At 35.5% G+C, this 13,236-nt stretch overlaps 1 protein-coding gene across 1 annotated transcript in view, besides 1 other annotated feature; it reads right to left on the reverse strand.

Moving 5' to 3' along the window:
• The window catches only part of PDE1A (phosphodiesterase 1A), a 576,757-nt gene that overhangs the window by 483,058 nt on the left and 80,463 nt on the right, over positions 1–13,236 (reverse strand). The window lies entirely within an intron of this gene.
• Positions 2,701–3,238: an enhancer, noted in NCBI's record as "OCT4-NANOG hESC enhancer chr2:183490526-183491063 (GRCh37/hg19 assembly coordinates)". NCBI's record gives its function as "activates a minimal SCP1, AML or CMV promoter by ChIP-STARR-seq in naive H9 embryonic stem cells {active_cell/tissue: H9 hESC(naive)}" and the evidence as "EXISTENCE:reporter gene assay evidence [ECO:0000049][PMID:30033119]".

Raw genomic sequence — 13,236 nt, forward strand, 5'->3', positions numbered from 1 at the left:
TATCTATGTGCATAAGTTGACATCTGTAAATGCTTTGGGGCCTGGCAAGAAGAAGGAGGAAAAGATATGAATAGGTAGGCATATGCATACACTAAGCTGGGAATCTAATGAGAGGAAAGAAATGAGGATGGAGGTGACAGCACAATTACCATCCTTTCTGCCCAGCCAACAGACTGGTATAGACATTGCATGTAGAGAGAAGTTTAAAAGCAGAAAGACATAGTACACTTCTCTAGGATAGCCTGTGTTCCATTTCAGGCACAAGGAGTCTCAAGAAGTCTTGTCACAGGGCCCAAAAGACAGAAAAAAAACATTAAAGCAGTTGATATTTTACCTGCTCTTTCACAGACTAGGGTCATGGCCTGGGACGCAGGGTTCTTACCAGCAAACTGACTTCTAATGCACAGAAGAGAGTGTCCTCATAGGAGATAATAGCAGAAGAGCCATTAGTGAAGGGACACTAGTGAGGGGGCACAGAGACCCCTGACTACCTACAAGACATCTTCCGAAGACATGTAGATATAAAGAGAGAGCCTTAGGAGTGGAGGGCAGGTCTTGCATAAGCAGGCTGTAACTACAAAAAACTGTCTTCATTTGGATGTTAATATCATTGACTTCATTTCTGCCCATAGGCTACAGCCTAGGTTATTTGGATTACGTTATTATTTAATGAAACACCGTGACATAAGTTTTCTCAACCATCAGCTTGCTTGAACATTATACAAACCCTTTAGATAAGAAGACAGGCCAGGCGCGGTGGCTCACGCCTGTAACCCCAGCACTTTGGGAGGCCGAGACGGGCGGATCACGAGGTCAGGAGACCGAGACCATCCTGGCTAACACCGTGAAACCCCATCTCTACTAAAAATACAAAAAATTAGCCGGGCGTAGTGGCGGGCGCCTGTAGTCCCAGCTACTCGGGAGGCTGAGGCAGGAGAATGGCGTGAACCCGGGAGGCAGAGCTTGCAGCGAGCTGAGATCACGCCACTGCACTCCAGCCTGGGGGACAGAGCGAGACTCCGTCTCAAAAAAAAAAAAAAAAAAGAAGAAGACAGGTTTTGGTTTTATTCCCATTTTACACTGAAATCCAAAAAAGATAAATGCCTGCTCAATATCAGCCACAAAAATTTAACTTTGTGTCTCCTGATTTAAAATACGTAATAAGCCTCCTGCTAGCTACTATGCTCAAGGCACAGGTGGGCACCTCTACTCCTGGCTGCAGCTGCTTATTGAAAAGGTCTGTACTCAAAAGGAGAAACAGAAGCCACCGCATTTGTTAGCCAATAATCAGATGCTCACATACCAGTGGATTCAGAAACATTTGTCAATAGTACTAGATCCTAAGAGGAATGTATATGGTAAGTCTTTACACTGATATCATGGGGACCAATGAACACTATTTCCAATAGCACTTTTTAAAAGACGCAGAAACCTTTCTTTTATGGCCAGCCCTTATACCAACCCCTAATGAAAGCTGGGTCATATGAAATCTGTTCCTGGCAACCATGAGCAATATAATTTTTTGTAAATTTCTGTCTTGAGCCAGTTTTGAGGCCCTGGCTAGAGGCCTGTCAGTCCCCTTCTTGAGCAGCTGATTATTAAGTCTATACCTCAACCACATTTCTTATTGGGCTCTCAGAACCTGGGCCACTATGCACGTGTCCTAATTGCCCTGGGGCCAGATACCAGACAACCAAGAACAGTTCCATGCCCCAGAGATTGAGAAACAATTCAAATTAGCCAGTCCACAGGGAGCCCAGCAAACCTAGCTAACCCCAAACCTCTTTCCATACTTCAGCTGCCCCCTACAATTCCACCTTAATATTACCCTTGCAACCCCCTGCTTGTGCCCCCAAAATTTCATATGTTGAAGCTCTAATCCCCAGTGTAATGGTATTAAAAAGTGGAGCCTTTGGGAGGTGATTAGATAGATTTAGATGAGATCGTGAGAATGGTAGAACACTTATGATGGGATTAGCGATGAGATTAGAAGGAGAGACACCAGAGCTGCTTCTCTCTGCCATGTGAAGATACTGCAAGAAGGTGGCTGTGTGCAAGCTAGAAAGTGATCCCTCACTAGATCCTGACCATGCCAGTAGCCTGGACTTTCCAGCATCCAGAACTGTGAGAAATTAATTGTTGTTTAACATCCATTCTATGGTATTTTGTTATAGCAACCTGAGCAAAGACAAAATCTTATAAAACACCATATAATGACAGTGAGGTGAGATGGTCCTCCCAGGAGTACAAGATGTTCTGGTGCTTGGACTTGACACGGGTACAGAGATTGGAGAAATAGGTAGTTAGTTTAACTTTTTCTGACTATTTCTTCCAAATATTTGTTGTCTCTTCTGGACTCTTAACAATTGATATTAAGTTCAGGGCACTTGCCTACATGCAGAGACCATGCCTTGAAGAAATCTCTCTGCTTTAGGGAACAGGATAGAGGTAGTACCAATTTATGCTAGGTTAGGAAAATAACTCTTGGCTGAATGGATGGATACAAGACCATCTCACTGGTCCTGACAGAGTCTAAATTTCCTTTCAGGTTTCATGTGGGAATAGACTTAGTAACAGAAAAATGTGAAAATTTGAGTTCAGTTTACATTGCTTTTAAGTTGTCAGTATCATATGATAGCCTAAAGCCAATATGTACTTTTGAGGGGTGCAGGGCTAAAAGGCCAAATGATCACATACTTCTAGCTCAAAGGAAAAGAAGCTCAAACCTTGATGTCTTCTAATAAAGACATCCCTCCTCATGTACAGCAACATATGCCATAACACTGGCATCTACTGTTGCCTGTATGTGAGAAAAACAAAAGAGAAGACAGGGAATTAGAAAGATTTACAGGGATAAAATTCAAACAATGCCTATGATCAAAGACAAAGGCAGAGACAGAGGAAAAAAACACCTCAGAATGGTAACGCTGACAAAGCAGGAACAGGTAAGCTGATCCTGCTCACCTGCTGCTCCCTGCTGCCTTTGAAATCTGCAGGGCTTCCACATGTTGGAAGTGCAGGAAGTGACTGAAAATGAGACTGTAGCTTGACACTTGTCTGATTTGCTCCCATGAATTTCCAAAACAAAAAGCAAACTTAAACACCAGATAGCTATATCTTCAGCTCACTTTGAAACAGCAAATGTGAATAGATCTTGAGAGTTCTAGTTAAAGCTTTTTACTGGTGAAAACCAGAATAACACTCAATTGAATCTGAATTCAATTTCAGAGAAAGGTTAGTGAGAAACTTTAAAATCCACAAAGTATTTCAGGGAAGCAAAGGACACCTGAATTTTTTTTAAAAAAGCCCAAGGATATATTTTAAAATGTTATCTGTTTAAAATGCTGCTTTAAAGGCCATTGCTTTTGAAAATTCTGATTATTTCAAACACATGTTGAACATATTAAACTAATTTTAGAGTTTGTGATATTAATCCTTACACTGGTATAAAAAAAAACCATGATGACTCCCTTCATTCTGGAGAACATTATATAAATACATAAACTTTTAGCAACAACCTAAACTTTTAGCAACAACTTGTAGATCCAATAAGAAAAAAATGTTTCCTAATATGTAATTGCCTTCGAGAAAAAAAAAAAGATCAAAGAACAAATGGCTTTATATATATATATATATATACATATATATACATATATATATATACATATATATACATATATATACATATATATACATATATATACATATATATATACATATATATATACATATATATATACATATATATACATATATATATACATATATATATACATATATATATACACATATATATATACATATATATATACCTTTAGACTGTAGATCCAATAAGAAAAAAATGTTTCCTAATATGCAATTGCCTTTGAGAAAAAAAAAAACCAAAGGACAAATGTCTTTATATATATATTTATATTTATATATAAAATATAAATATATATATTATTTATATATAAAATATAATATATTATTTATATATAATATAAATGATATATTATGTATATATAAAATATAAATAATATATTATGTATATATAAAATATAAATATTATTTATATATAAAATATAAATAATATTTATATATAAAATATAAATATTATATTATTTATATATAAAATATAAATAATATATTATTTATATATAAAATATAAATAATATATTATTTATATATAAATAATATATAAAATATAAATATATATTATATATAAATAAAATATATATATTATATATATAAATTTATATATAATATATAAAATATAATATATATATTTAATATTTATTATATAATATATAATGTATATTATATTTAATATAAATATATATTATATTTAAATATATATATATAAAATCTCTTTCAAGTAAATCATTGAGTCACTTTCAGTGCATTCAAGATTGCTCCAACAAATAGCTTATTTAAAATAGCTTTTCAAGTTTGATTAGCATTCATTTTGTCTAAGGAAAAACATTGCTCACACATGATATTTTAATTATGTCTATTTGCTGTGCTTACCTAAAAAAAAATTTCCAGACATCTGCAGCTGAAAGTTAAAAATTAATTCAAATTGCTGGGTGCAGTGGCTCATGCCTGTAATCCCAGCACTTTGGGAGGCTAAGGCGGGCGGATCATCTGAAGTCAGGAGTTCGAGACCAGGCTGGCCAAACTTGTGAGACCCCATCTCTACTAAAAATACAAAAATTTAGCCAGGCGTGGTGGTGCAATCCTGTAGTCCCAGCTACTCAGAAGGCTGAGGCAGGAGAATCACTTGAACCCGGGAGGTGGAGGTTACAGTGAGCTGAGATCATGCCACTGCACTCCAGCCTGGGCAACAGAGTGAGACTCCATCTCAAAAAAAAAAAAGAAAGAAAGAAAAAAGAAAAGAAAGAAAAAATTAATTCAAATTATTTATAATGCTATTTTCACCTCTAACAGTGCTTCTATGAAAAAAGTGTATGTGTGCACACACACACACACACACACAGTTTGCATTTTTTTACCTGAAAATGGAACCCTAGTGACCTAGAAGCAACTAACTGACTTCAGAGGACTTTGCTTATCCTTACTTGGCCAGAATCCGATTATTGTTATCGCTAATTTTCATTTTAGAGAAATAGAAGGATGTGAAGTAAGCAATGTCTGAGAAAAGGGAGGTATCCCACTGGGATCTAAAAACTTCCAGCAGGAAAACTAGAGAGCTTTCTGGAGGAAAAAATACATTCAAGTAGTTTCATCAAATATAAGACAAATATATTTTCACATTTTAACATTTTTTAATTTGGCATATACCTCATAATTAATTTGCTAAGCAAGCCTAGTTTAACTAGAGTTCTTTTCCTTTAATTTTAATACATAAAATAATAATCCTCTGACAATTAACACCATGTTAGAATGGATGAAATATAGAACAAAGACTGAAGAAAAACAACCAAACCCAAGAGGACATTCATTATGAAGAACTCAAGGAAGTACATGATATTGCATCAATGTATAGTATTAGTACTCTCAGAAAAGCTTGTAGAAATACGTATTACTAATGGTCTGAGGTGTAGAAGTAATTTTCTTTTCTTAATGTCTGTTTTTTTTTAATTATTCAACACATAGATGTAATTTTATGTAATAAGATCATGTTAATCATTTCTGTTTTTGATTTGGCTTTGGTCTTTTTAAAATATTGTTTTCATTGTTTGCTTGGCCATCTGTAACAGACACACCCTACTCTTGACCCCCCCAGTGATCCATGTTCTCGTAATCATCTCCAGTCCTTGGATAAGTGGGACATGCAACTTTCTTCTAGCCAACAGAATATGGCAAAAGTGATGGTATGGGATGTCAGTCTTGTGATTGTATTTCATTTCGTAAGACTCCATCTTAGCTGATTTAGCAGCAGGAGATCTCCTGCTGGCACTGAAGAAGCAAACAGACATGCCAGAACTGCCTATGGAGAGGGCCATGTGACAAGGAATTGCAGGTGGTCTCTGAGACATAAGGGTGGCCTCCAGCCAACAGCCGGTAAGAAGCCAGGGCCATCAGGCAGGCAGTCCCGAGGAAATTAATTCTACCAACAATAATGCAAGCTTGGAAAAGGATCCTGAGCTCCAGAAGGGAATTCAGTCCTGCCAACACCTTGATTGTAGCTTTAGAAGATCCTGAGCAGAGGATTCAGCTAAGCTGTGCCCAGACTCAACCCATGGCAACAGAAAATAAGTGTATGTCATTTTAAACTTCCGAATTTGTGTTAATTTGTTACACAACAGGAGAAAACAAGAACATTCCCCTTCTCTTTTCTCTTCCTCCCCTCTATCCACATTACTACCACCACCACCACTCAGATAACAGGTGATGAAGTTCCTTTGATTATAAAATTACAAGTATTTACAAAATACACATACACTTATAGTGGGAGGATCTTACTTATGTTTCAAAACTGGGCTATTACACAGTTTATCAGCATCCTGCTTTTCTCACTCAACCATACCTCATGGAAATCCCTCCAGGTTTCCTACTATCTTTCTAACACACAGTCTTTTTGATGGCTACAAAATAGCCCATGGTATTAATGTGCTATTATGGGCATTCACTTTGTTTCCAGTTCTTATAATCAACATTATGTATACATGTTCATTGGTGCTATTATTTTTACTAGTTAGATTCCTAAGGGTGACAGTGCTAGATCAAAGCATCCTATGCATTTATTTCTGCTAATAGATGTTACAAGATTACATTCCAAAAAGGATGCTAAAATGTAAGTTACTACATTTTTGTTAGAAATATCTGAAACTACCATTGCCTATCCATTCTTTGGCAGAAAGTGGTGCTTTCCTTCTTTTTAGGTTTGGCCAGTGTGTGAGGTATATAAATGTTAGTTTAATTTGTACTTGCCTGCCTATAAGAAGTTTGATCTTTTTGGGATTAACTCTTCTATGATTTGCCTATTTTTCTCTTTTGCCCATTTTTCTATTGGATGATCTCCTCATCATTTGTAAGAACTCTTTGTCTATTATAGTATTAATCTTCTGTGTTCTGCATTCAAACATTTTTTTTCCAAATCTATTGTTTTTTCTATTCACTTTTTTAAATGGTCCTCTTTTTCCCCCTAGTTTATACTTATAATCTTGTAGATTTTCCTGTAGGTGTTTCTTGTTATGTTGCTAACTTTAATATTTAATTCATCCCAAATTTATCTATATTGTGTAAGTCAGTGATACAATTTTATTTACTTCCTGATGGATTAGCCAATTGGGCTAACACCATATGTTGCAGGAAACCGTGATTTTCCCAATGAGTTAAAATACCACCTTGGCTGTATGTTAAATTCTCATCCATACCAGGATCTATTTTCAGATTCTGGATTCTTTTCCACTGATCTATTCTGATGCCAATGCCATATTGATTCAAATACAATAAATTACAGCATGTTCTCACATGGTAAGGCAAGCTCCCTTTCTTTAATCCTCTTTTTTAAAAAAAAAAAAACTTACCTGATTTCAGCCATTTATTCCTTCATGAAAATTTTTAAACATTTCATCAGTTTGATGGTTCTAATTTAAAATGAATTTCATTTTTATGTAAACATTTAGAAGATTCATAATGTTATTAATCTTTTAATCCAAAAATGTATTCTAGCTTTTTATTTATATCTCATGTTCTTCAATACAAATCTATAGTTTTCCACACAGGGATGAATCCAGCATCAGCTCTCCCTTCAGGACCTTGGCAAGATCCAGGTGCTCACTAGAACACAGACATCATAAACACACCAAAATTTCTTTTTTCCTTCTTTCCCTTCCATTTTCTTACTTCAATTTAATATTTATTAACTTAATGAGAATTTGAGTTCTGTATTAATTATGGTTCTCCAGAAAACAGAACTAATCTAATGTACATATACGTTGTGTGTATATATATATGTATACACACACACACATACAGATATAGAAAGAAATATTTATTATAAGGTATTGGCTCACACAATTGTGGAAGCTGAGAAGTCCTACAATCTGCTGTCTGCAAGCTGGAGACCCAAGAAAGTCAGTGGTATAATTTAAAAACTTGACAGCCAGAAAGTCAATGGTGTACATTCTAGTCCAAATCTGAAGCCCTTAGAACCAGGTGTACTAAGGGCAGAAGATCAATATCCTAGTTCAAGCATTCAGGCAAAGGAAGGGTGACTCCAATCTGCCTTTGCCTTCTTTTTTTTTTAATTAATTAATTTATTCATTTATTATTATTATACTTTAAGTTTTAGGGTACATGTGCACAATGTGCAGGTTAGTTACATATGTATACATGTGCCATACTGGTGCACTGCACCCACTAACTCATCATCTCGCATTAGGTAATCAGGCTCTCAATGGATTGTACAATGCCACATTAGGGAAAGCCATCTGCTTTACTCAGTTCACCAATTCAAATGCTAATCTCTTCAGGAAAACGCCTTCACAGGCATACCCCCCAGAAACAATGTTTCACCATCTATCTGGGCACAATGAACCAGTCAAATTAACACATAAAATTAACCATTACAGCTTCCTACAGTTGCAAAGCACTTTCATATGATAGGATACTATATAGTTTGTAATTTCTATTTAACAGGCATTAACGTAGTTAAAAATTAACTGTATATTAGACAAATAAATGCTTTTGTCACAATTTACTTTTCTTCCTCTCTGACATGGTTTTCACATGGAAGTATTCCTCTGCATCTCTTTCAAGTATGATGCTAGGAAATTGTCAAAATTTACATCTTGCTATTCTCAAACACGTAAGTGGAACTCAGAGTCCAGCTGAAACAGCAATAATTACCATTTGTTTTAGAAATTCTCATAAATAAAAAAGCATTATTAATCAAATTAGTGGAATGAGATATAGCTGAATCAGATACACTGATACTAAATTATAGTGACTACTTTCTTTTTCCCTTTTTCATACCGATTTTAAACAACTTTCAAAGGGTTTTATTCTCTTCCAGACTGAAGTATATAAAGGGTGAGAGACAGTTAGTCTGGAGATGGGTGGAAAAGGAAGAAAACCTTTAGGATACATAAACACACACACCAAGAGACAGAGAGAGAGATTTTTTCCAAACATACATTTCATCAGATTTAAAGTCAAACAAAAATACAGTATGCTTTCATTAACTGTACCACCATTAAAAATAAAATTTTAAGTTACGAGTATATTTTAATGAGTGTATTTTAACCACTTTTATCTTAGCAATCAAATAAATAAAACTGATGATGTTTTACAATCGTTCTATGTAAGATTTAGCATCCACCTGAGTAAATGAAAGAATAACTGCAAATGTGAATCTTCCTTTTTAAACATTTGATAATGAATTCAAAGATCAGCATAATACTACTTCTCATTTTTTTTTTCTTTGTAAGTATGTCTCCTACTCCTCCAGTTGCCTTCTCTCTCCCTTAGCAAGAAGATAGCACTATTAGATACTGCAAGAAGAAATACTCTCTTTCTACCTTAAAAATCATACCTTCTTTCCTCCACTGTTACCATGCCCCACTGGGTTCTAGACTTATGAAAATGTCCTGGTTTTTACAAAGATAGGAGATAATTTTTAAGCATCTCTATAAATGAAAGCAAATAGACTACACCATAGAATTGTTTATAAAAGTTCAAATTACATTTTGAAAAGATTATTATTCTTATAAATACACAAGTTTACTTAGCCCCCCACAATTTTAAATAAAAGTTTCAAGTTCAGGATATTATAAAACAATCTCAAATTGTGACCACTATAAGGTGGCAATGCTGCTTTGTTTCTCTGTTTCTTAATTTACTCAATAAAAAGCACAATTATTTCCCAAAAGCCTAAGAAAAAGGAAAATGATTTTAGGACTTCATGGTAAACTCAAAGCACCTAATCCGGTAGCATTCAGATTATGCTGTATCCATTTAGGTCTTGAGACTTCCCTTCAAATTATGCTATATGACAAATAAAGACGAATTTCATGTTGGCTCCATTTGCTCCAACCAAAACAAAGTAAGATAAAATGGCATGATGAATGGATTTACTCAGATACATTTAGGATGGAGATGTCAGTGTCACAGCAGGTCAGCATAAAATGGGTAAATAGCACAACATGAATAAGATTTTCAGTTGCTCAGGTCAACAATATGACAACGATTGCATGGACAATCTGAAAATCAAAAACAACTTTATCTGTGTAGTCAAATAGATTTTCCTCAAGCCATGCAAAATTAAAAAGGTCCACCCTGTTGCATTCTGCTCCAGGCTGGTATTTGTGCTTTTCTTCCTGTTTCCTACCTACATTATTCTCCTCGGACTCCCCACTAGTCTCAGTCACTTACACTTAGCCTGAAAACTCACTCACACCAAAACAGAAATGGCTGGTGTTATGTCCAATTATCTGCACTTGGAATATTCTTAATATTGGCATGGAAGGCTTACCTCTTATTAAAGGAAACCATGGGGAAGGAGGAGCGTTGTTAATCTGTGACCTGAGTCATGGATTTCTTCTAGCAGAAATAGGAATCATGTGACTTCTGGACCCACGGCGTTCTCATTTTGTTCCCACTCTTCATTTCATCTTGCCCCTATTTCAGATATTCTCTTAAATATTTCTAATCATTTGGCCTGCATCCTAAGAGAACATTACATTCTTCCAAAAACAGACTTCCACCTATCTCACAACACGTAAGTCCAAACTGAGTGATTAAAAGGATAACCAGGCTGGATGCAGTGGCTCATGACAGTAATCCCAGCACTTTGGGAGGCCAAGGCAGGCAGATCCCATAAGCCCAGGAGTTCAAGACCAGCCTGGCCAACATGGCGAAACCCTGCTCTACCAAAAACAAAAAAACAAAAATTAGCCAGGAGTGGTGGTGTGCGCCTGTAGTCCCAGCTACTGAAGAAGCTGAGGCGGGAGGATCCTTTGAACCTAAGAGGGAGAGGTTGCAGCGAACCAAAATCACACCATTGTACTCTAAGCCTGGATGACAGAGCAAGACTCTGTCTCAAAAAACAAGAAAAAAAAAAAGATAACCCCTCAATTTCAGTAGCAATCCTTTTATCTGACACATCAGCACTGGTTATATCATCAACTAATCAAAAATAAAAAGTATTATACATCCTTTAAACATTCCATCTGAATTTAAAATGTACAAATGTACATTTATTTTCTAGTTTTTTTCACGTAGAGCCAAAACATCTCCAAGTATGGGGACTCAGCTGATGAGTTTTGAACTATGTCTAGTGTGAACCACACGTAATGCAGTCTAGTGTTTCCAATTTTTATTGTTTAATGTGAAGAGAAAGCAGCTTTCTATCTCCAAATGTTTATAATACTAAGATTAAAAGTAGAGAAAATGAAAACTCCAGGAACAAGGCAGACTAAAGAGCACACAGACAGTTGAAATAAACCAAGCAACAGCAGGGGAGTCCTGCTTTGCCGAAAGAGGTTTGCAACCATCATTTTTGGAGCATGAAATTGATCCTATTAGCATTTTCTGAGATGCTAAGGATTGCAGGTGTCACTATTATTCACTAAATAATGTTACCCTCGCCTTGAAATGCAAAATCTTTCTTTCACATGGGGAGCATTATGCGGTACTCAGAGAAAAAAACAAGTTTCTAATGTGAAGACTGAAAATAAAGGTCTACAAGAGGACTTGATGAAATGCAAATGAATTGTTTTAACAGCAATTTGCACTGGCAAAATATTAAAATGATCAAAATTCACACAGCATATATGGATGATGATTCATCTTTAGTCAAAGCTTAATTACTACATTCATCCTAATGATTGGAACCTGTTCCAGAAATATTGAAAACAGGTGCAAAATAAAAGGTAGTATAAAATGTCACTCACTGTGAAATAAACTGCAGTTGCAATTATTATAAGTAATGTCATGCAGCTTATGGATCTCAAAAGCATAATCTGAATTTTAGAATTATAGGACAATAAATCAATTGGATACCGCTCATTATAAAAAATGTGTTCTCATACTCTGCGGGAAAAGGGGAATTGGGTACATAGCCACATTGTAAATGGAAAAAAAAAAAAAGCTGATTTTTAAAATTTTGATCAATACTAAGTTTCGGTATTTTTTCTTTAGAATTTTTTGATGTTGCTTTTAATACCATTGATTTAATGTAATAATAGATAATTCACATGACTCAAAAATTACAAAGTTCAAAAAGATACAGTGAAGACTCCTTCCAAGATAATTCCCATCTGCCCATTCCCAACTATCGCCTTCCCAGTAACAATTGTTTATATATATAATTAATACTATATATTGATGTTTCCAATTTATGCTAATAGTAGTATATTATAGTTTCCTGGACCTTTTTTGTTTAATATACCTTAGAAATCTTTCAAAATTAGTACATAGAATACTTCCTTGTTTGTTTTTATCAAATGAAAAATATTTCATTGTATGAAAAACCATAATTTATTTAACCAGTACATCTTATGGACTTGAACAGGTTTAGGAGAGTTTCTGTCACCAGTCTAGCTTATCACCAGCTGTTCCCACATCTTCGGTTGGCCAACTTTTCATTTTAATCATTTATGGATCACTTTGTTTTAAGAGTATCTATCTCTCTCTCTCTCTCTCTCTCTCTCCACATATGTGGAACTTCTTTTTAACTTCAAAGAGTGTCCTTCATATGGGAGGTGAGTTTTTTTGGTTTTCTTTTTCCAGCTTTATTGAGGTATAATTAACAAATAAAAATTGTACATATTTAAGGTATAAGGAGGTAAATTTTGATTAATGTTTTCTGAGGTCTGCTGCCACTGAATTCTCCCACTGCTCTGAGTCCTTATTTTTCTTTACTTCCGTCAATAAAGCTTCTGCTCGATCTCACCGGTATTTTTTTTTTTTTTTTTTTTTTTTTTGAGACAGAGTCTTGCTCTTTTGCCCAGGCCGGACTGCAGTGGCACTATCTCGGCTCACTGCAAGCTCCACCTCCCGGGTTCACGCCATTCTCCTGCTTCAGGCTCCCGAGTAGCTGGGACTACAGGTGCCCGCCACCGTGCCCGGCTAATTTTTTTTTGTATTTTTAGTAGAGAAGGTGTTTCACCGTGTTAGACAGGATGGTCTCGATCTCCTGACCTCGTGATCTACCCGCCTCAGCCTCCCAAAGTGCTGGGATTACAGGCGTGATACATTGAGCCCGGCCTCACCTGTATTTTTTAGGCTTAAAGTAATTTTTAGCCTGCTGATTAATAGCTGTCTCCTAGTTCCAACAAAAATGGA

The sequence above is a fragment of the Homo sapiens genome, chromosome 2 (assembly GCF_000001405.40).
Source record: "Homo sapiens chromosome 2, GRCh38.p14 Primary Assembly".
In the NCBI taxonomy this organism is placed as follows: Eukaryota; Metazoa; Chordata; class Mammalia; order Primates; family Hominidae; genus Homo; species Homo sapiens.